The sequence below is a fragment of the Homo sapiens genome, chromosome 2 (assembly GCF_000001405.40).
Source record: "Homo sapiens chromosome 2, GRCh38.p14 Primary Assembly".
Lineage (NCBI taxonomy): Eukaryota > Metazoa > Chordata > Mammalia > Primates > Hominidae > Homo > Homo sapiens.
Window position 1 is genome coordinate 88,499,551 of NC_000002.12, and position 23,715 is coordinate 88,523,265.

A 23,715-nucleotide genomic window follows, 5' to 3' on the forward strand; every position below is an offset into this window, starting at 1 on the left:
ACCACCACAATCAAGATACAGAATTGTTCTATCACCAGATATTTCCCTTGTGCTACCCTTTATAGTCATACCCAGTCTACTTCTCCTCCCTTGTCCCTAACCCCAGGCAACCACTAATCTCAATAATTTTGTCATTTTGAGAGTGTCATATAAATGGAATCATGCATATGTGACCTTTTGAAGTTGGCTTTTTTTTCTCAGCATAATGCCCTAGAGATCCATCCAAGTGGTCGTGTATATCAGTGTTTCTTTTTATTGCTGTGTAATATTCTATAGTATGAATGTAGAATAATCTTTTTAAAGCAGATTGGTCCCAGCTACTTGGGAGGCTGAGGGAGGAGAATTGCTTGAACCCAGGAGGTGGATGTTGCATTGAGCTGAGATGGTGCTACTGCACTCCAGCCTGGGTGACAGAGTAAGACTCTGTCTAAAAAAAAAACCAAAACGCAGACAACAGCAGATTGGAACCTGTCACTTCCATGTTCAAATGGACCTTTCCTATGGCACTAAGAACAAAACATATGCTCCTCACCTAGTGGGCCTCCCTGCCTGGCTGGCAGCTGCCTCCCTATCTTCTCTCTCTCTCTTTTTTTGAGATGGAGTCTCACTCTGTTACCCAGGGTGGAGTGCAGTGGCACAATCTCAGCTCATTGCAACCTCTGCCTCCTGGGTTCAAGCGATTCTCCTGCCTCAGCCTCCCATATAGCTGAGACTACAGTCATGTGCCACCACGCCCAGCTGATTTTGTATTTTTAGCAGAGATGGTGTTTCACCATGTTGGCCAGACTGGTCTCGAACTCCTGACCTCAAGTGATCTGCCCGCCTTGGCCTCCCAAAATGCTGGAATTATAGGCGTGAGCCGCCATGCCCGACCCCTGTCTTCTCTTGATACCTGTCCCATCCCCCTCATATACACAGGCCTCTGTCATTCCTAAAACCCAACCGGCTGTTTCTCTGTGCTGCTCACCAGGATGACTCCCCCCACCTCTCCTTGTCTTCCAGTCCTTGCTGAAATGTCACCTCCTCAGAGAGGCCTTGCCTGCACTTTCCTGTACAAATGCTGACACCTACCCGTTTTTCTGCTTATTTTCTCCCTTGCATTACTTGTACTTTGTCAGAATTTAATTTTTTGTCTACTTGTTTAGTGTCTGATACTCTGACCCCTAGTACAGTGACCAGTGTGTAACAGACACTGAGAAAGAAATAAGCTGAATAAAGGAGTTGATTTGTCTCTGAAAGAGGATGCTGATGTAACATCCACCTGTGTAACATCCACCCCTCTGGGTAATCAAGTGTTGGAATCTAAGCTATTGCAGGCATGGATTAATAATGTACTTGTGTATGCCTGGCCTTTTTCCAGAAAGGGATTCAAGGTGGCTTGCAAAACTGCAGATGATGCAACCAGATAAAAAATAATGAGTGAAAATAAGAATGGGAAAAGATGAAGCAAGCCCACACCTGGAAGAAAATAAGAGTAGGGAAAGATGAAGATGGACCACGCCCGGCAGGTGGGATGCAGGGCTGGCAGGACCCCTGGTTGCCTGCTCTTCAGCAGCCAGCAACCTAGTGCCTGTAGCTGGACAAGCAAAGGAAGACACAAGCAAGGTGGCTTCAGGTCATGATGAAGGATATGAAGAAAATAAAATTTAAACATGGTCCATGAAATTAAAAGCAAGCATATATATATATACATATATATATATATATATATGTATATATATATATATTTTTTTTTCCCCCTGAAGAAACAGTTATTCCTGATTCTGGGAATTGAGAGAAAGATTTACCATGAGCCTTAATTTTTTTTTTTTTCCATCATGACCTGAGTGGTAGTGTGATCCTAGTTCACTGCAGCCTCAGACTCCTGGGCTCAAGTGATTCCCCTGCTTCAGTCTCCCAAAGTGCTGGAATTACAGGTGTGAGGCAGTGCCCCGGCCAAGTTTTTTTTTTTTTTTTTTTTTTTGAGACGGAGTCTCGCTCTGTTGCCCAGACTAGAGTGCAGTGGCACAATCTCAGCAACTTCTGCCTCCTGTGTTCAAGCGATTCTCCTGCCTCAGCCTCCTGAGTAGCTGGGATCACAGGCGCCCGCCACCATGCCTGGCTACTTTTTTTGTATTTTCAGTAGAGACGGGGTTTCACCATGTTGGCCAGGCTGGTTTTGAACTCCTGACCTCACGTAATCCACCCCCCTCGGCCTCCCAAAGTGCTGGGATTAAAGCGTGAGCCACCGCGCCCGGCCCCCTGGCCAAGTCTTAATATTTTTATTTTTCTGTTAATTTTTTTTGGAAGATCTATTATGGTTGGAGCTCCAGGAAATCATGAAGAAAAAAATGACAAGGCACGCTGCCCTCTGGAAATTTATGGGGAAAACAGGTCTCAGCTACCGATGATCGCTCCACCACCCCTACCCCTGCTCCTCCTCATATCAGTAGGCCCTGTTGCTTTCACCTCTTACTCGTCTTCTGATTAAATGAACTGCCTAGAGTAATACCAGTTTAGTAGCAAGCTGGGCCAAGAAAGTGAGTGTCTGGATGGTAGATCCACTTTCTTCCTGTAACATCCACCCCTCTGGGTAACCAAGTGTTGGAATCTAGGCTGTTACAGACACTACCATAGGCCCCTTGTGGACCAGCAACGTTTGTTTATCAGTTGAATCCACTTGAACCCACCACCCTCCCACATACTTATCTGAGTTTTGAGTCCCTCCTCTGGTTCCCCTAGCACCCTGGGCTCAGCCCCATTCTCCTGCATTGCAAGTGCCTCTTGGAGATGACTCTTTTTTTTTTTTTTTGAGACTGAGTCTGGCTCTGTTGCCCAGGCTGGAGTGCAATGGCGCGATCTCAGCTCACTGCAGCCTCCGCTTCCAAGGTTCAAGCGATTCTCCTGCCTCACCCTCCTGAGTAGCTGGGATTACAGGAGCCCACAACCACGCCCAACTAATTTTTGTATTTTTAGTAGAGATGGGGTTTCACCATGTTGGTCAGGCTGATCTCGAACTCCTGGCCTCAAGCTATCCACCTGCCTCAGCCTCCCAAAGTGCTGGGATTACAGGCATGAGTCACCGCACCCGCCGGAGATGACTCTTTTATGTCATGGCGTCACTAAGCGCATTCTGGAAGCACCTGCAACAGAGTCATCTGGGTGCTTCAGCAGCGGCTGCCAGGCGGTTAGTGTTTCATGGTGTTGCTCACAGCAGGTTGGGAATGTGTTTTTGGTAAGGACCCTGACCTAAAGAGATGTGGTCGAATAGGGTCCTCTCCAAATTCATATCCATTTGGAATCTCAGGTTGTGAGCTTGTTCGGAAATATGGTCTTTGCAGATGTAATTAAGGTAAGAATTGAGATGATATCATACCGGATTAGAGTGGGATGTAAATCCAGTGAGTGTCCTTATAAGAGATGGAAAAGGGTTAGCTGTGGTGGCTCACGTCTGTAATCCCAATGAGAGGTGACAGCATGCTGGCAGCCCTCGCTCGCTCTCGGCGCCTCCTCGGCCTTGGCGCTCACTCTGGCCGCGCTTGAGGAGCCCTTCAGCCCGCCGCTGCACTGTGGGAGCCGGCTCCCTCAGCTTGCGGGGAGGTGTGGAGGGAGAGGCGCGGGCCGGAACCGGGGCTGCGCGCCGCGCTTGCGGGCCAGCGCGAGTTCTGGGTGGGCGTGGGCTCGGCGGGCCCCGCACTCGGAGCGGCCGGCCGGCCCCTCCGGCCCGGGGAAGTGAGGGGCTTAGCACCTGGGCCAGCAGCTGCTGTGCTCAACTTCTCGCGGAGCCTTAGCTGCCTCCCCGCCGGGCAGGGCTTGGGAACTGCAGCCCACCATGCCTGAGCCTCCCCTCTCCGCCGTGGGCTCCTGCGCCGCCCGAGCCTCCACGACGAGCGCCGCCCCCTGCTCCAGGGCGCCCGGTCCCATCGACCACCCAACCGCTGAAGAGTGCAGGCGCACAGCGGGGACCGGCAGGCAGCTCCACCTAGGGCCCTGGTGTGGGATCCGCGGGGTGAAGCCAGCTGGGCTCCTGAGTCTGGTGGGGACTTGGAGAATATTTATGTCTAGCTAAGGGATCGTAAATACACCAATCAGCACTCTGTATCTAGCTCAAGGTTTGTAAACACACCAATCAGCACCCTGTGTCTAGCTCAGGGTTTGTGAATACACCAATCGGCACTCTGTGTCTAGTTACTCTGGTGGGGACTTAGAGAACCTTTATGTCTAGCTAAGGGATTGTAAATACACCAACAGACACTCTGTATCTAGCTAATCTAGTGGGGAGGTGGAGAACTTTTGTGTCTATCTCAGGGATTTAAACGCACCAATCAGCCCCCTGTCAAAATGGACCAATCAGCTCTCTGTAAAACAGACCAATCGGCTCTCTGTAAAGTGGACCAATCAGCAGCATGTGGGTGGGGCCAGATAAGAGCATAAAAGCAGGCTGCGGAGCTAGCAGCGGTAAGCTGCTCGGGTTCTTTTCCACGGTGTGGAGGGGTAGTTCTTTTGCTCTTTGCAATAAATGTTGCAGCTGCTCGGCCTTTAAACCCACACTGCTTTTATGAGTTGTAACACTCACTGTGAAGGTCTGCAGCTTTATTTCTGAAGCCAGCGAGACCGTGAACCCACCGGGAGAAAGGAACAACTCCTTACGCCCCGCCTTAGGAGCTGTAACACTCACCTCGAAGGTCTACAGCTTAACTCCTGAGCCAGCGAGACCAAGAACCCACCAGAAGGAAGAAACTCTCAACACGTCTGAACATCAGAAGGAACAAACTCCGGACACGCTGCCTTTAAGAACTGTAATACTCGCTGCGAGGGTCCGCGGCTTGGTTCTTGATGTTAGTGAGACCAAGAAGCTACCGATTCCGGACCCACCAACACTTGGAGAGGCCAAGGCAGGAGGATTGCTTGAGCCCTGGAGTTTGAGACCAGCTGGGCTACATGGTGAAACCCCGTCTCTACAAAAAAATACAACAACAAAAAATTAGCTGGGCATGTTGGTGCATGCCTGCGGTCCCAGCTACTCAAGAGGTGGGAGGATTGCTTGAGCCGAAGAGGTCAAGGGTGAAGTGAGCCATGATCGTGCTATTGTACTCCAGCCTGGGTGACAAAGCAAGACCGTGTCTTGGGGGAAAAAAATGTATTGAAAAAGTAGGAGACAGTTGGAAAAGGGCTCACAGAGAAGACAGCCATGAGAAGACTGAAGTGGGTAGAGATTGAAGTCATGCTGCCACAAGCCAAAGAACATCTGAGGATGCCAGAAGCTGAAAGGGGCGAGGAAGAGACAAGGGAGTCTCCCCAAGAGCCTTCAGAGGGAGCATGCCGTTGCTGATACATAGATGTTGGTCTTCTAGCCTACGGAATTGTAAGTGAATGCATTTTCTGTTACCTTAAGTCACTTAGTGGTAATTTGTTCTGGCAGCAACGGCTTCCCACTCCTGGGGGAAACGAATGCAAGGGACGTCCCCCTCTAGAGGGTTTAACTGCTCAGGCTATCACTACCATGCACAAACAGCTGATTATGATGGCAGGGAAATAAATTTGATAGCCCCAACAGAGTGTGCCCAGTCTAGGTGAAGGATGGAGTATTACAGAATACATGCTCTCATCCATTAAACATTAAAGAAGGCAGACTCACTTTGCAAAGCTTATTGAAGGAAAGTGAAACTTGTGAGGGAAATCAGATGGTCAAGACTCAATACTAGAAGTAAACTTGGAGTATTTGGAAGAAGGTAGCCTAAGATGGGGCAACTCAGGGCCTGAAACAGGCCAGACACATTCTAACAGGAGAGGTAGAGTGTGATGCAGGACAGAGACCAGGAAAGGATTGGACCAGCTTTGAGACTGCTCCCTCACCCCCTGACTAAGGCTGTTACCAGGTGCTTTGTAAGAGAGTAGATATCCCTGTGTGGATTGAAATTGATTGATTGATTGACAGGGTCTCGCTCTGTTGCCCAGGCCGGAGTGCAGTAATGGGATCATAGCTGGCTGCAACCTTGAACTCCTGGGCTCAATTGATCCTCCTACCTCTGCCTCCCGAGTAGCTAGGACTACAAATACGTGCCACCACACCCGGATAATTTTTGTATTTTTTGTAGAGATGGGGCTCTTGCTATGTTGCCCAGACTGGTCTTGAACTCTTGGGCTCATATGATTCTCCCAATTTGGCTTCCCAAAGCTCTGAGATTATGGGTGTGAGCCACCATGTCTGGCCAAAATATGTTTGTTGAGCATCCACTTTGTGTGCCAGACTCAGATCTAGCATGGAACATCGGAGGGCCAAATGCATTTCTTACCCTCACAGAGCTGGTAATAATGTATCAGGAATATTTTGGTTGCAAGTAACAGAAAACTCAAACTGACTTAAACAATAAAAGGAACATATTATTTCCAGTAATTCCCAAGGCATTTGGGGCTTCCAGCACCATTCAGCCAGGCTCCTACTTGGTTTCTTTGTGATTCTCTTGGGCCTTCTCTCTTCTGTGTGTCAGTTCCAGCCTAGGGTTGACTTCTTTTTTGTTCATGGTTTCAGGATGGTTACCAGCAGTATCTGCAGCTGCTTGCTTTACACTGGGGAGGTGGGAGGGGGCATTCTCCTGCAATCATACATCCACGTGATTGAATCCACAGATCCAAGCTCATCCCTGACTCAATTATAAGGCAAAGGAAGTAAGATATCCTGATTGGTTTAGACCAGTGCTACTCTTAAGTGTGGCCTCCCGGCCAGCAGTATCAGCATCCCCTGGGAATTTGCTAGAAGTGCAAATCCTTGGGATCAGAAGTGGAATCAGCAACTCTGGAGGGGGAGGGCTCAGCAACCTGTGCTCAGCAAGCCCTCCAGGTGATTCTAATGCACGCTGTAGTTTACTCTTGAACTAATCAGATCCCATTTGTGGAGCTGGTGGGGAAGGTTATTTTACCCAAATTCAATGGTGGAAGGATGGAATGGATATTGGGGAGGCAATCATAGCCCCTATCCTTAGTGATTAAGGCAAATATCATAGTTTATTGCATTCTTTATTGAATTCTTAATAGGTGCCAGGTCACAGCGCTAATCAATTTACATGCATGTTCTCATTTAATTCTCACCACAAACCTGTGAAGTAGGTACTATTATTGTCTACACCAATTGAGAAAACTGAGGCCCAATGTAAAGTAACTTATTTAAGGCTTTGTCGCTAAGTGTCAAGGCTGGAAGTTGAACTCCCGCGAACTGACCCCAGAGGCTGTGTACAAATAAACAGCCAGCCACCAGGACATGTGATAAGCATGTGACTGACGGAGGAAGTCCAGGTGCCTCAGGAGTACCACAAAGGCACCTAGCATGCTCTAGTGGGCATCAAGGAGAGCTTCCTGGAAGAAGTGACCAGATGGTGAGGAGTTTGCTAGCCAGATGAAGAGGAGGAAGTGTCTAAAGGCCGAGAGCCAAGAGACGGCTTAGCATGTCTGAGGGTGTGATTTGAATGTGATGCTGTGAGTGGGAGAAAAGAGGGGTGACTGAGAGGTGAGCAGGGACCAGAACTAGAAGGGCCATGCGGACTAAGTGAGGAGGTTCAACTTTATCCTTAGGGCAGTAGGGCACATCTGAGGTTCTGACCAGCATGAATACGTTGGACTTGGCCTTTAGAAAAATTGAGCAGAGGCAGAAAAGCTATTTGGAAACCCATTGCATGGGTCCATCTCAGTAGAAATGATGGTGCCTGGGCAAAGAGCAGAGAAATTGGGCATGGATATATAAATCCTATATATATATATAGAGAGAGAGAGAGAGATACATATAGATATATATATACACACACACATATACACATATACATACATATATATATAGAGTTGGGTTTTGGCAGGAATGGGGGATATGGATGGCTACAATGTATTGAGCTGTACCAGGTGCTTTGTATGTACTGTTTCTAATTCATTCAACTACTCTACAAGGTAGGCATTTTTATCTGCATTTTCTGAAAGGGGATGAGGATCTAAATTACCTGCCCAGGAATCACACTAACAAACGATAGAACACTGAGTTTAGGCTGGGCGCAGTGGCTCACACCTGTAATCCCAGCACTTTGGGAGTCTGAGGCAGGTGGATCACTTCAGGTCAGGAGTTCAAAACTAGCCTGTCCATCGTGGTGAAACCCTGTCTCTACTAAAAATACAAAATTAGCCGGATGTGGTGGCGCGTGCCTGTAATCCCAGTTACTCGGGAGGCTGAGGCAGGAGAATCACTTGCACCTGGAAGGCGGAGGTTGCAGTGAGCCAAGATTGTGCCACTGCACTCCAGCCTAGGTGACAGAGTGAGACTCCATCTCAAAAACACAAAAAAAGAACACTGAGTTTAAATCTACGCCTGTGTTTTCTGCATAGAGTCATCATTAGGAATGGCTATGGATCAGGTTTTTGTGCATTATTTCTAATTCTTCATGAAGTTATATTTATGTAATTGTATATATTATACATACATCATATGAATAGGTAAACCTGTCCTTTGTTCACTAATAAATTCCCAATGATTGGTACGTAGCAGGTGCTCAATAAATATTGGAAGAAAGGAAGGAAGGGGCTGGGCGCGGTGGCTCACGCCTGTAATCCCAGCACTTTGGGAGGCTGAGGCAGGTGGATCACCTGAGGTCAGGAGTTCAAGACCAGCCTGGCCAACATGGGGAAACCCTGTTGCTAATTTTGTATCTACAAAAATACAAAAATTAGCTGGACATGATGGTGTGTGCCTATAATCGCAGCTACTTGGGAGGCTGAGGTGGGAGAATCATTTGAACCCGGAGGCAGAGGTTGCAGTGAGCTGAGATCGCGCCATTGCACTCCAGCCTAAGCAACAGAGTGAGACTGTGTCTCAAAACAAACAAAAGGAAGGAAGGGAGAAAAGGAAGAAAATGATATAAAAGCTGTTACACATAGGTGGTTAAATGGTTTTAACCAATGATAGTTACACTCAAGATTTTGCTGGGAAGAGTAGGGAAAAACAAAATTTTATCTCTAAATACTACATATTACAAATGAATACAAATAGGAAATATCTGAGAACTGAAGATAAACATATATATACATATTTGAGCTATTTAATATATAATAAAGGAATTGATAAATGGCTTGTATCTATGTAATTTGTCTTGAAGTTTTCTTATTTCTTAATGTTATTGTTTTTGGGGTTGCCTTATGTCTAATATTGCTGGAATATACACAGAGGAGCCTAGTGAAAATAAACTTTTATTTATTTCTAATTATTTTCGAAACCAGGGTAATGGAATAGATAGTCACTTGACTGCTTGCAAAAATGCTTCACCCAAAGATATAATCAGACAAAATGGGATTCTGAAAGACTCGGCCATGGGCAAAATATCTTCAAGGTCTTCCTCAGTTTCCAAACTTTAGGGCACAAAATAATTCCCTTGAGAGCTTGTTTAAAATGATGATTCCTGTGCCTCACTCCAGCCTCCCTCATCAAATTCTGATTTGGAAGATATGAAGTGGGGACTTGATATTCTGTATTCTTAGCAATCAGCACTGGAAATCCAAGGACCACACTTGAAGATCCATCAACTTACCTTGAAAGTGTTTGTGACCAGAAACATCAGGCTTTTTCTCAACCTCTTGCTGCCAGGTTTGCATTGAGGTAGGGTGGGGGCTGACCTCAAAGTGACTGACCGATCTGTCAACACGATTTCTGGGGAAGGTGTTCCTCTCTGCACTTCAATTCCAGTGCGATGGCATGAGGGAGATTCTCTCATAGATTACGCCTCCCGCGCCAGGTCAGACAGGGAGAGAACGGGGGTGTGACTTACTGATTACCTTGCCCTTTCAACATCTAAATGGCCCGACCCAGCACTGACCCTGGACTCATGTCCCAAAAAGCATTTGAAAGAATTTAGAAAAGCTGACAGAAGTACGAGAAGACAAAATAAGCTGTTAATATCTTGCAGAAACTGTTAGAATAAGATCTTTTAGGGACAGTATCCTTCTTCCAGTTATTTTGGGCATAGATCACATTATCATCATAACTACCATCGTCATCATCAACAACAGCAATCAGTAGTTATGGAGCACTCAAAGGATGAGGGCTATTTTTCTTGACAGGATGTCTGTTGCTCAGGCTGGTCTCAAACTCCTGGCATTAAGCAGTCCTCCCATTTCAGCCTCCCAAAGTGCTAGGATTATAGGCTTGAGCCCCTGTGCCTGGCCTAGGACTGTCATTTTGTATTCTATTTCCAGGCCTTTGGGCCAAAGGATTTTATTCAGGTATCCCCGAGGCTACCAAAATTATTTTAGACATTTTCACAGAAATGGTTTCTCGCATGGACATGGACATCCTTCTGTTTCTGTTCATTTGAAAATCTATTTTCTTTAAAGACATGTTAGCATTTCTTTTTTTTTTTTTTTTTTTTTTTTGAGACGGAGTCTCTCTCTTTCGCCCAGGCTGGACTGCAGTGGCACTATCTCGGCTCACTGCAAGCTCCGTCTCCTGGGTTCACGCCATTCTCCTGCCTCAGCCTCCCGAGTAGCTGGGACTACAGGTGCCTGCCACCACGCCCGGCTAATTTTTTGTATTTTTAATAGAGATGGAGTTTCACTGTGTTAGCCAGGATGGTCTTGATCTCCTGACCCCGTGATCCGCCCACCTCGGCTTCCCAAAGTGCTGGGATTACAGGCGTGAGCCACCGCGCCCGGCCAAGACATGCTAGCATTTCATAGTATGCGTGCACTCGTATTCTTTTTTTCCTATTGTTTGCCTATAAATTCCCTGGCATGCACCCATATTTTTAAAATCAGTTTCTGCTGGTGTAGATTTGGGTTGTCACAGGTTTTTGCTAATTCAAGCAGTGCCATGACAAACCATGTCATGCCTGTCTTTGCACAAGTGAGTGATCATTGATGTAAGACCAACACCTAAAAGTGTAATTGCTATGTCAAAGGGTAGAGTCATTTACATTTTTGGCAGGTACCTCCAATTGCCTTCAAAAAAGTTATGGTGGTTTATACTTATATCGATAGTGATGAGCAAGTGCCTATTTCCTCATGTCAGTACTGGAAAATTACATTTTAAACGTTCTCTTGGCACTCCGATAGGTGGAAAATCGCATCATATGTTCATTGGCACTCCTTTTATTTACAACAATGTATTTATGGGTCATTTGTGTATTTTTATTCTGTGAAATGCCTAATCCTTTGCTAAACTTATGAAGATATTAAAATTACTTTAAACAGAGGTTAATTTAAAAAATATTTTTAAGTTTTAAAATAGTAAGCTTTGTTTATTAGGAAAATGTATGATATGAAGGTACTGAACATGTCTCATTTATGTCATGTCATTTGATCCCAGAGTCATAGAATAGAAAGAAGCTGATAATCAGGATGAAGTTTTTTTTTTTTTTTTTTTTTTTGAGACTTGCTCTGTTGCCCAGGCTGGAGTGGAGTGGCGCGATCTCGGCTCACTGCAAGCTCCGCCTCCCGGGTTCATGCCATTCTCCTGCCTCAGCCTCCCGAGTAGCTGAGACTACAGGCGCCTGCTACCACACCCGGCTAGTTTTTTTTGTATTTTTAGTAGAGACAGGGTTTCACTGTGTTAGCCAGGATGGTCTCGATCTCCTGACCTTGTGATCCGCCCGCCTTGGCCTCCCAAAGTGCTGGGATTACAGGCGTGAGCCACTGTGCCCGGCCACTGAAGTTTTAAAATGGTTTTTGAGTCTTGTGGAAAAAATTGAAGCTTTTCTGAACAAGAAAATAAACAATTGCAGTCTCTCTGCCAGTCACTATGCTAGACATGACGACTTTTCTACCATTGGATCTTCTCAACAATTATTTGGTGCTGTTATGATTCTCACCCTCACTTTTTTTTTTTTTTTAGATGGAGTCTTGCTGTGTCACCAGGCTAGAGTGCAGTGGTGTGATGTCAGCTCACTGCAACCTCCACCTCTCAGGTTCAAGCTATTCTCCTGCCTCAGCCTCCCGAGTAGCTGGGATTACAGGTGCCCACCACCACGCCCAGCTAATTTTTTGTATTTTTAGTAGAGATGGGGTTTCACCATGTTGACCAGGCTGGTCTTGAACTCTTGACCTCAGGTGATCCGCCTGCCTCGGCCTCCCAAAGTGATGGGATTACAGGCGTGAGCCACCGCGCCCGGCCTTTTTTTTTTTTTTTTTTTTTTTTTTGAGACAGTCTCACTCTATTGCCCAAGCTGAAGTGCAATGGTGCAATCTAGGCTTACTGCAGCCTCCACCTCCCAAGTTTAAGTGATTCTCCTGCCTCAGCCTCCTGAGTAGCTGGGACTACAGGCACCCACCACCACACTTGGCTAATTTTGTATTTTTAGTAGTGATGGGGTTTCACCAGGTTTGCCAGGCTGGACACGAACTCCTGACCTCAAGTGATCCGCCCGGCTTGGGCTCCCAAAATGTTGGGATTACAAGCGTGAGCCACCGTACCCAGCCTAACTCTCACTTTTAAAGAGAATGCTTTCCCCTTTCTGTTGAGGAGATCTGACAACACAAAAATGAAGCAGGCAAAGATGATGCCAGTGACACTTTGAGTTCCCAACCACAGCATAGCCTTGACGATGCAGTGTGTTTGTTAGAGCTCCTCAGCAGAAAGGGGGAGAGCATTCTCTTTAAAAGTGAGGGTGAGAATCATAACAGCATCAAAGAAGCGTAAAGATCCAGTGGTAGAACAGTCGCCACGTCTAGCACAGTGACTGGTAGACAGACTAATTCTTAGTTTATTTTCTTATTCTGAAAAGCTTCAGTTTTTTCCACAAGACTCAAAAACTGTTTTAAAAATTCAGCCTGATTATCAGCTTCTTTCTTTTTTCTTTTCTTTTCCTTTTTTATTTTGAGACAAAGTCTCGCTCTGTCACCCAGGCTGGAGTGCAATGGCGTGAAGTCGGCTCACTGCAAGCTCCGCCTCCTGGATTCACACCGTTCTCCTGCCTCAGCCTCCCGGTAGCTGGGACTACAGGCACCCGCCACTCATGTCCAGCTAATTTTTTGTATTTTTAGTAGAGATGGGGTTTCACCGTGTTAACCAGGATGGTCTCGAGCTCCTGACCTCGCAATCCACCCGCCTCGGCCTCCCAAAGTGCTGGGATTACAGGCGTGAGCCACCGTGCTGGCCAATTATCAGCTTCTTTCTATGGGATTTCAATTGAATTGAATGACATTTCCTTCTTACTGGGAGAGGCAGTCTGAGAAACAGATTGGATACTGAAACACTGGGATGTTCAATAGGATGTCAGTGACTTCCATCCAAAGATCATTAGGGACCCAACTGGAATTGAACAAATTGAGTTTATTTCTAGTAGCAAATAGGGAAAACACATACAATGGGAAGCTTTTGGAATGGGGTGTTAGAAAGTATCTATAATTGGGCTGGGTGTGGTGGCTCATGCCTGTAATCCCAGGACTTTGGGAGGCCAAGGTGGGTGGATCATGAGGTCAGGAGTTCAAGACCAGCCTGGCCAACATGGTGAAACCTCATCTCTACTAAAAATACAAAAATTAGCTGGGTATGGTGGCATGCGCCTGTAATCCCAGCTGCTCGGGAGGCTGAGGCAGGAGAATCACTTGAACCTGGGAGGCAGAGGTTGCAGTGAGCCGAGATCACGCCACTGCACTATAACCTGGGCAGCAGAGCAAGACTCCATCTCAAAAAAAAAAAAAAGTATCTATAATTGGCCGGGGACAGTGGCTCATGCCTATAACCCCAGCACTTTGGGAAGCTGGGGCTGGTGAATTGCTTGAGCCTAGGAGTTAGAGACCAGCCTGGCCAACATGGGAAATCCGTGTCCCTATAGAAAATACAAAAATTAGCTGGGCATGGTGGCATACATCTGTGGTCCAAGCTACTTGGTAGGTTGAGGTGGGAGGATTGCCTGAGCCAGGGAGGTTGAGGCTGTAGTGAGCCGTGATTGCACCACTGCACTCAGCCTGGGTGACAGAGTAAGACCCTGTGTCAAAAAAAAAAAAAAAAATTACAGGATTCGAGCTTGTGTCAGGTGATTTGGGGGAGGGTTTAAGAGAGTCGGGTTTTGCTCTGGATTATATGCTGTCTGGAAGCAGATGTAACTCTGTGGTCTTATTTTTTATTTATTTATTTTTTTGAGATGGAGTCTTGTTCTTTCGCCCAAGCTGGAGTGAAGTGGTGCAATCTCAGCTCACTGCAATCTCTGCCCCTGGGGTTCAAGCGATTCTCCTGCCTCAGCCTCCCGAATAGCTGGGATTACAGGCACCTGCTACCACGCCCGGCTAAGTTTTGTATTTTTAGTAGAGATGGGGTTTCGCCATGTTGGCCAGGCTGGTCTCGAACTTCTGACCTCAGTTGATCCACCCGCCTTGGCCTTCTAGAGTGCTAGGATTACAGGCGTGAGCCACCATGCCTGGCCTGATAGTTCTTATCTATAAGGCAGGAGGAGTAAGTCAAGGCTAAAGAAGCAGCAGTTACCATTAGGCTGGATAGGGAAGTTTTTGGTTATTTTTGTGTCTGTCTTGGACAATGTTCATGTTTTGTCTGTGTTGAGACATGGTTATGGAGGAGTCTTGTTTTTGTCTTCATCCATCATGGTCACAACGGTCTTGTCTGATGTTGATGCTCTGTGAAGTTGTTTATGCCCCGTAGGAGAACACCAGAGCTTCCAGATCAGGAGCCACTTTTCTATTAGAATGTTTTAGAAATTGTTTAAAATAAAAACCATCCCCCAAATTCCAGCATATAGATTGCCCTCTTTAGATCTTTTTCTCACCACGCATGCAGAGGCCATAGACACTGTGGTTGAAAGTGTGAACTCTGATTCCAGGCAGCTGAGGCTGGAATCCTGCTCCTGTCACTTCTTAACTGTGTGTGAACCTGAGCAAGTTATTTACTCTGATGGCTAATTTTATGTGTCAACTTGCCTGGGATAAGGGATGCCCAGATAGCTGGTAAAACACTATTTCTGGGTATGTCTCTGGGGGCATTTCCAGAAGAGATTAGCATTTCAATTAGTAGACCAAGTACAGGTGAACACCCTTCTCAATGTGGGGAGGTATCATCCAATCCAGTGGGGACCTAAACAGAATAAAAAAGCAGAAAAAGGGCAAATTTGCTGTCTTGCTGTTCAAGCTGAAACATCTGTCTTCTCCTGCCCTTATGTACATGGGCGCTTCTGGTTCTCAGGCCTTCAGACTCAGACTGAATTATACCACCAGTTTACCTGGTTCTGCAGCTTACTGATGGCAAAGTGTGGGACTTCTTATCTCTATAATCATGTGAGCCAATTCCTATAATCTCTCTCCATGTATATAGGTATGTATGGATATGTATATGTGTGTGTGTGTGTGTGTATGTGTATATACATACACACATACAGGTTCTGTTTCTCTGGAGAACCCACTTACAAAATGGGAAGAATAAAAAGGACCTATATTGTACAGTTAGGGTGATTTTTTTTTTTTTTTTTTTTTTTTTGAGATGGAGTCTTTTTCTTTTGCCCAGGCTGGAGTGCAGTGGCGCTGTCTTGGCTCACTGCAGGCTCCGCCTCCCAGGTTCCCGCCATTCTCCTGCCTCAGCCTCCCGAGTAGCTAGGACTGCAGGTGCCCACCACCACGCCCAGCTAATTTTTTGTATTTTTGGTAGAGATGGGGTTTCACTGTGTTAGCCAGGATGGTCTCGATCTCCTGACCTCGTGATCCGTCCGCCTCGGCCTCCCAAAGTGCTGGGATTACAGGCATGAGCCACCGCGCCCGGCATTTTTTTTTTTTTTTTTTTTTTGAGATGGAGTCTTGCTCTGTCTTTAAGGCTGAAGCACAGTGGCACAATCTTGGCTCACTGCAGCCTCCGCCTCCCACGTTCAAGCAATTCTCCTGCCTCAGCCTCTGGAGTAGCTGAGATTATAGGTGTGCACCACCATGCCCAGCTAATTTTTTTTTTTTTTTTTTTTTGAGACAGAGTTTGGCTCTTGTTGCCTAGGCTGGAGTGCAATGGCACGATTTCAGCTCACTGCAACCTCCGCCTCCTGGGTTCAAGCGATTCTCCTGCCTCAACCTGCCAAGTAGCTGGGATTACAGGTGTGCACCACCACTCCCGACTAATTTTGTATTTTTGGTAGAGATGAGGTTTCACCATGTTGGCCAGGCTGGTCTTAAACTCCTGACCTCAGATGATCCACCCACCTCAAAGAGGGTGTTGGGATTACAGGCGTGAGCCACCACGCTCGGCCTAGGGTGATGATTAAGTGAATCAAATCCACACAAAGCTGTCAGGACCGTACCCAGCACAGAGGATTGCCTTGTTGTTACTGTTACTACTGAATGTCCAGTCAATTCTCAAGTGCCTGGGGAGTTGTAGGAGCCTCTGGCTGTTGTCATTTCTTCTTTTTTGAGATGGAGTCTTACTCTGTTACCCAGGCTGGAGTGCAGTGCTATGATCTCAGCTCACTGCAACCTCTGCCTCCTGGGTTCAAGCAATTCTCCTGTCTCGGCGTCCCGAGTAGCTGGGACTACAGGCGCATGCCACCGTGCCCAGCTAATTTTTTGTATTTTTAGTAGGGACCGGGTTTCACCATATTAGTCAGGCTGGTCGTGAACTCCTGACCTCAGGTGATCCACCTGCCTCAGCCTCCCAAAATACTGGGATTATAGACGTGAGCCACCGTGCCTGGCCGTCATTTCTTCTGTATTCTCTTCTTTCCTGTCTGTGCTGCATACTTACCCCACACAGTTCCTTTTGAAAGGTCCCTTTCATCATGTTACTGTTGAATGACATGATCCATGCTCACTCTCATTTATTGAGCATGTACTGTACATCAGGCATTGGGCTGGGCAGGGTTTTCCCAGAGTTTTACTTTATTCTCCTGCAGGGCAGGCATTTTTAGCCCTACTTTACCACTTCAGAAGGAAACCGAAGAGAGAATATAAGTAACTTACCCAAAGACACACAGTTTGTAAGTGGTAAAGCTGAGTTCAAGTGCAAAATCATCTGACTCTAAAGCTTTTTCCTCTCTGCATTTAGCCTCCCCCATGTAAGTCCAGCACTGAAGGTCTTCATTGCACAGCCCCAGATGCCTTTCCAGCCTGACTTTTAAATATCCCCTATATAGTCAAAGAGCATTATGGAGGGTCTAGCAGGCTCAGAGGAAGTCAAGAGGAAAAAGGCAGTTCAAATATTTTTTTGTGGGGGAAGCAAAAAAAAAAGCACAACTAAACAAAGACATGGACATGGCATAAAGTAAGTGACAAATATCTGCTGAAGTGTCATAAATGTTCAGAGAAAAGGGATGTAGGTGAGAATGAGTAGTTAGGAAGTAGTTCCCACCAGAAGCCAGGGAGTGGCGGAGGCTTCAGGGGTGGAGCAAATTTGGACAAGAGAAGGATGCTCCTCATCTAACACTTGATTTCATCGCTACCTGTTCTCTGCCATTTCTTCAGTCTCCCTCAACTCCAGATGACCCTGGCCTGCTTCTGCACTTCCCTGCATGTGCTTTCTTTGGACACTTCCTGCTTCCTCTCCCTCCCAGTGTGTAAAGTGCTGGATGGCAGGAACAGAGTTTTTCATCTTTTATCATCATCCACCAACACCTTCCTTCCTATGACCACACACACACACACACACACACACACACTCACATACACACAGCATCTAGCACCATGCCTCGCTCACCTAAGACAGTCAATACTTGTGTGTTGAACAAATGAAGCAAAAGGTCCTGAGTTCTTATCTCAGTTTAACAATTTCACAGGTTCTTTTGGTATCATTTCTCAGGTACTGTGCACATCCACCGCCCCGAAAGCATCCCAGACCAGGCCTTGATTGGCTGTCTGCTTCTGTCCATCCCTGAAAGATTTTGGGCCCCAGCTCCCCGCTCTATAAATAGTAGGGGTGGCCCAGCCATGGTCCTCCTACCCATGCATAAGAATCACAGAATCTCCAGTAAAGCTTGTTAAAAGTCCAGGGTTGGCTTCATTTCCCAGAGATTCTGACACAAGTGTGGCAGCAGAAATCTGGATTTTAACATGTATCCCAGGGGACTTTGAAGAAGAGGGTCATTGGGCTGCCCTTGGAGAAATCCTATGCTAGGTGACCCAGCTAGTTTCTATGAATCTAGAATGGAAAAGGATGACAGACCCTGTGTGTGGGGCTCCCAAAGGCATCCAGTTGGGGACAGACCTCTCCGAAGCACCATCACTTTTTAATTTTCAGAGCCATCCACTTGAAACCTAATGACCCAGTGTGTTTGTGGCAGTGGGACAGTCAGCGTCCTGATCCCTCCTGGAGATGTGCTGATTCCTCAGGGCCCTTTAATGGAATGGATTCCTCTTGCCTTCCCTGCTGTGCGGCAGGGGCTGATCCTGAATTAACTCAAGATCTGTTTTTTGTTTGTTTTGTTCTTCAGGTGAAGGGGTTTCTATTTCTGATGAGGGTCCTCCTGGCTAAGACATCTCTTTTGGGAAAGCAGTGTTTGCTAAGCTCTTGGAGGCTCCAGGATCCTGGAGAGGGAGCAATATCCCCACTGAGCTGGGGAGGAGGCCTTTGTAGTGTCGACTTGCTGTTTGTGTTTCAGGCTCTAAGGGAAGGGTTGCTCCTAATTAAAGGCATAAATGCTTTAATCCCTGGCCCGAGGGCTTCCCATAGCGCATTAGCCGTATTAGGAAGGAAATGGATTGTAATCCCTTTAATATAAGCCTGGAGGAACTTGAGGGCTTCTGATTGGGGAGAAGAATTTCCTCCTGTGATTTAACAATATTAACATACTGAATTTGCATAGGCAGAAATTTGGGGCCCAGCTCTCTCCAGGTTATGGTGGGAGATGTGGGAGTCACTCTCAGATGACTTTTGGGGTGTTCTTGTTCCTATTTCCATCGAATGAATGAAGGTTACAATAATTAAAGTCCTACAGCATACCAGACTAGGTGCTAAGTAATTGATACTTTTCTTCTTTAGTTTTCACATCCAACCCTGTTGTATATGTATTGGGCTATTTTCTCAGTATAGATATATAGATTTAGAGGTGAATATCCTCATTGGAGGTAGCAAGGGAGGAGGAGGAATGATGCTTGTTGAGGGCGTTTGGTGTGCCTCTGCTTTGTATAACCTGTTTATTGGATCTTGTCCACACACCTTTTTTGCATCCTTTAAAATAACATTTATTTTAACATAACTGTGCTTCTAGAAGTACACTCATATTTCTATATGAGTGTTTTTTAAATAATATAATTTGGTTTATCTTACACAATTTGAATGCAAAATTTCTATGTGATTGAAACTTTAAAAAAACAAAAGCAGGATTTGTTTTCTGGGTTATTTTTTGTCTCTTACATATGTAGGAAAGATCCTCCCTTGCCTGCTGCTGAAGGAGACAATGAGAACCATGAAAACATTTACCCATTTGAACTTCAGAAAAATCACATGTATTGCATTGTAAAAACTTAAAAATTGGTACAACATGATGTTTTGCAGTGTTTCCATGATGTTTTGCAGTGTTTCAGGCAAGCTCACTCAAGTTCAGTTAACTATGTGGTAGTCTGGGGTGGAGGAAGCCTGTGCAGGCATTGAGGATTTCAATCTCAATGAAGAGGGCACTGAGCTCCTGGGAGTGAAGTGACTTGTCCACACTGCCATAACCAGCGGGTGGCTGAGCTGAGGGCCTAGCCACTCCTGCAGCTTGTTGCACTAACGTTGCTGCATTGGCACCAAAGCTAAGAGATTCTGCAGAAACATGCTGGGCGCAGTGTCTCACGCCTGTAACCCCAGCACTTTGGGAGGCTGAGGTGGGCAGATCATGAGGTCAGGAGTTCGAGAACAGCCTGACCAACATGGTGAAACCCCGTCTCTACTAAAAATACAAAAATTAGCCGGGCGTGGTGGCACATGCCTGTAATCCCAGCTACTCAGGAGGCTGAGGCAGGAGAATCGCTTGAACCTGGGAGGCAGAGGTTGCAGTGAGCTCAGATCGCGCCAGTGCACTCCAGCCTGGGTGACAGAGTGAGACTGTCTCAAAAAAAAAAAAAAAAAAGAAACCTGACTGCAGTGAAGGTGGCACACAAAGGGGCCAAAAAGAGGCTCGAGTACATGGACCAGCAAGGCCTGAGCACAAGTGCCAGTGACCTTATCATCCTTCTGGCCTGATTTCCCTCCTGCTGCCCTTGAACACTCCATTTGGGAGGCACAGAATGCCTTTTAGTGTCAGGGCAGGGTTGCTCTGCAGGGCTACTTGGGAGGCTGTAGTACCTAAATTAGGGATATTGTCCATCCTCCCTGTTAGCTTCAAGTACCACCTATATCATCAGCAATTCCAGAGTGTATAACATGTTCAGAACTTTCTTCTCTGAACTATAAATCCTTCTGCCCATGTGTTTACTCGCCTCTTCTTGGAAACCACACAGGCTCCACAACTAGAATAGGACCCCAACTGCACTCATAGATTTATTCCTGGTATTAGTCCATTTTCTGTTGCTTATAACAGAATACTTGAAACTGGGTGCTTAATAAAGAAAAGTAATTTATTTCTCATGGTTATAAAGGCTGTGAAGTACAAGGTCAAGGGGCCATATCTGGTGACGGCTTTCTTGCTGGTGGGGACCCTTCAGAGTCCCAGAGCAGAGCAGAGCATCACCTGGTGAGGGGCTGAGCATGCTGACGTGCTAGCTCAGGTCTCTTTTCTTCTTATAAAGACACCAGTTGCCCTCCCATGATAACCCATTAATCCATTAACCCATTAATTCATTAATTCATGAAGAGCCCTCATGACCCAGTCACCTTGTAAAGTCCCCACCTCTCAATGCTGCCACATAGATTAAATTTCAACATGAGTTTTGGAGGGGACAATATTCAAACCATAGCACTTCCCAAACCAATGCCTCCTCCTGCCTTTCCCACCTCATCAAAGGACCATCAAGCTCCAATGGCTTATTTGAGAAATCTGGGAATCTTTTTGACCCTACTCTGTCTTGCCACTGCCTCTTTCTGATAATGATTAAATCCTATGCGGTCTACTTTCCTAACGTCCCTTGAACCTACTCACTTCTCTCCATATCTACTGCCATCTCATCCAACTGTCCCAGCCATCATCATCATCATCCAGTGGCCTACAATGGATAAAGTCAAAGTTCTTCCCATACGTGCGTGATGAGGTAGTATCTCCTCTCCAGCCTCATCTGGAGCTGCCCTTGTCCCTCCTGGCTCTGCTGCAGCAGAGCAGGCTCTCTCCTACACGTGGGAAGTCTATTTCCTGCCCTAGGGCAGTGAACAGAAGTCTCCTTCCCCTTTAGAACTGAGTTAAAATGTCATTACTTGAGGCAAGTTTTCTCTGACCAGATTCCAAGACTGGATCAACCTCCGATACTCCACATTTTTTCATGGCACTTGTCAAAATTGTAATGAAAGACTCACTTGTGTGATTATTTGCATATTTATCTCCCATCGTACTGTAACTTCGTAAGGACAGAGACCATTTCTATTTTATTTCGTTACCATAATTCCAGGCCCTTGCACAATGCCTGAGATACAGCAGGAACTCAAAAAATATGGGGGCAAATATTGGTTTGAAGAACACCAAGCACTTTCACAGACATATCTGTTGACTTCCTACACTCTTTTCAGGTAGGTGTTACCTCTGTTTTACAGATGATCAAACTGCCTTTTATTAATCTTAGATGATTTACCCAAAGACATGAGGATAGCAAGTATCAGAATTTGAATTCAGGACTCCAAAAATGTACTTGGTAATATTTTTCTGAAAAATACATACTTGGGGCACAAAAATCACTTATGCCCCAGCTGTCTCCTCCACTCTTATCCCTGTGGCCACTCTGTTCTTTGCCTTAGCCTTTGCCATCTCTTTCAGTTTTATTTAATTCACAAGCACTTCTTAAATCCCCATGCTTAAGTGTTGGTGCACTGAGGAATAAAAAGTAAGATCCAGCTCTTTCCCTCAAGAATCCCACAGTTAGTTAGGAGAAATAACTATGTGAGCACTCCAACCTTGAATTTGTAGGTATTGTTTCAGCTGGCAGTTACAGAAACTCAACTGAAATTGGCTTTAGCAAGAAAAGGAATGTACTGGCTCACATAAACTGCGAAGTGTAGATGTAGATCAAGCTTGCTTCAGGCATGGTTATATCCAGGGGCTCAGTGTTAGTCAAAATGCTGTTGCTGTTTCTATCTCTGGGATAGTCTTGTCTTTGTGCTGATTTTATTATTGGCCTGGCTTTCTCTACACAGTGGCTTCAGGCAGCCTCAGGCTCACATGGTTCTTAGTGCCTGCTGTTTCAGCTCTTCCTTCCCAAGAGCTAGGGATGGCACTCATCAGTCCAGCTTGGATCATGAGCCTCCCCCTGAATCAATCACTGTGGCCTAGAGAGTGGAATGTTCTGGTGGCAACATGCCCATTTAGAGTTGGAGTAGGATCAGCACCACCCATGCCATGTGATCCCCAAAGGGGAGTGTCTTAGTTCATTTTTTGTTGCTGTAACAGAATACCACAGACTAGATAATTTGTAAAAAAAAAAAAAAAAAAAAAAAAAAAAAAAAGTTTAAGGCTGGGCCTGGTGGCTCACGCCTGTAATCCTAGCACTTTGGGAGGCCGAGGCGGGCAGATGACTTGAGTTCAGGAGTTCCAGACCAGCCTGGCCAATGTGGTGAAACCTTATCTCTACTAAAAATACAAAAAAAGTTACTTCGGCATGGTGGTGCATGCCAATACTCCTAGTTACTCAGGAGGCTGAGGTGGGAGGATTGCTTGAACCCAAGAGGTGGAGGTTGCAGTGAACTAAGATCACGTCACTGCACACTTCAGCCTGGGCAACAGAGCAAGACTCCATCTCAATAAACAACAACAACAACAAAACCCAGAAGTTTATTTGGCTCACAGTTTTGGAGGTTAGGAAGTTCAAGGGCATGACAGCAGCTTCTGGCAAGGCCTTTTCATACTGTATCATAACGTGGTACAAAAGTGGGAGGGCAAGCGAGTACACGCAAAAGTGGCGAAACATGAGGGGCGGCCTCACTTTACAACAACTGGCTCTTGGGTTAACTAATCCAGTCCTGAGAGAGTGATAACTCACTCACTATGGTGAGAATTAGCGCAGTCCCAAGAGAGTGGCATTAATCCCTCTTAACCACCTCATCAAATCTTAAAGGCCTCACCTCCCAACACTGCCATGCTGGGGACCAAATTTCTAACACATTAATTCTGTGGACACACTCAAAGAAAGGCAGGAAATAATTATCTGAGGGGAAGTTGGCATTCCATTAAAGAAGAGGAATGCCAGAGATTCCCAGCCAACTCAATCTCTTGACCTTGCCCATCATTCACTCCTTTCTAGGCACATGGCTGGTGATTCTTGTTCTCAGTGGTTCCTGCCTTTAGGCTTTGCACTAGCTGATTGCTGTGTCTAGAACCCCTTATTCTCAGATCTTTGCATGGCTGGTTCTTTCCCATGCTTCAGATCTCTACTATAACATCACCCTCTCAGAGAGACCTCCTTGGACCTCCCATCTGAAGTGCCCACTAGTCATCCTCTTGTGCATCGCCTGGCTTATTTGCTCTATCTAAGGGAGGGTGACCTGCTTATTATTGTGTTTGCTCTGTGTTTTCATCTCACCAGAATGTAAGCAGAGATTTCCATCTATTTTTGTTCTTGAATCTATAAAGTTCAGAACAATGCCCAAACACAAAAGAAGTGCTCAGTAAATATTGGTTGGATAAATGAGTCTATGGTGGCACCTAGTGAGATAAAGGAAAGCTTTATAGAGGAGGT

At 46.0% G+C, this 23,715-nt stretch overlaps 4 annotated features.

The window, feature by feature from the left end:
• Positions 4,523-5,722: an enhancer, noted in NCBI's record as "MED14-independent group 3 enhancer chr2:88803591-88804790 (GRCh37/hg19 assembly coordinates)". NCBI's record gives its function as "activates an origin of replication core promoter dependent on BRD2, BRD4, P300/CBP and CDK7 cofactors, and independent of MED14, by STARR-seq in HCT116 cells {active_cell/tissue: HCT116}" and the evidence as "EXISTENCE:reporter gene assay evidence [ECO:0000049][PMID:35650434]".
• Positions 12,451-12,952: an enhancer, noted in NCBI's record as "H3K4me1 hESC enhancer chr2:88811519-88812020 (GRCh37/hg19 assembly coordinates)". NCBI's record gives its function as "activates a minimal SCP1, AML or CMV promoter by ChIP-STARR-seq in naive H9 embryonic stem cells {active_cell/tissue: H9 hESC(naive)}" and the evidence as "EXISTENCE:reporter gene assay evidence [ECO:0000049][PMID:30033119]".
• Positions 17,936-18,436: an enhancer, noted in NCBI's record as "OCT4-NANOG-H3K27ac hESC enhancer chr2:88817004-88817504 (GRCh37/hg19 assembly coordinates)". NCBI's record gives its function as "activates a minimal SCP1, AML or CMV promoter by ChIP-STARR-seq in primed H9 embryonic stem cells {active_cell/tissue: H9 hESC(primed)}" and the evidence as "EXISTENCE:reporter gene assay evidence [ECO:0000049][PMID:30033119]".
• Positions 18,437-18,937: an enhancer, noted in NCBI's record as "OCT4-NANOG-H3K27ac hESC enhancer chr2:88817505-88818005 (GRCh37/hg19 assembly coordinates)". NCBI's record gives its function as "activates a minimal SCP1, AML or CMV promoter by ChIP-STARR-seq in naive and primed H9 embryonic stem cells {active_cell/tissue: H9 hESC(naive and primed)}" and the evidence as "EXISTENCE:reporter gene assay evidence [ECO:0000049][PMID:30033119]".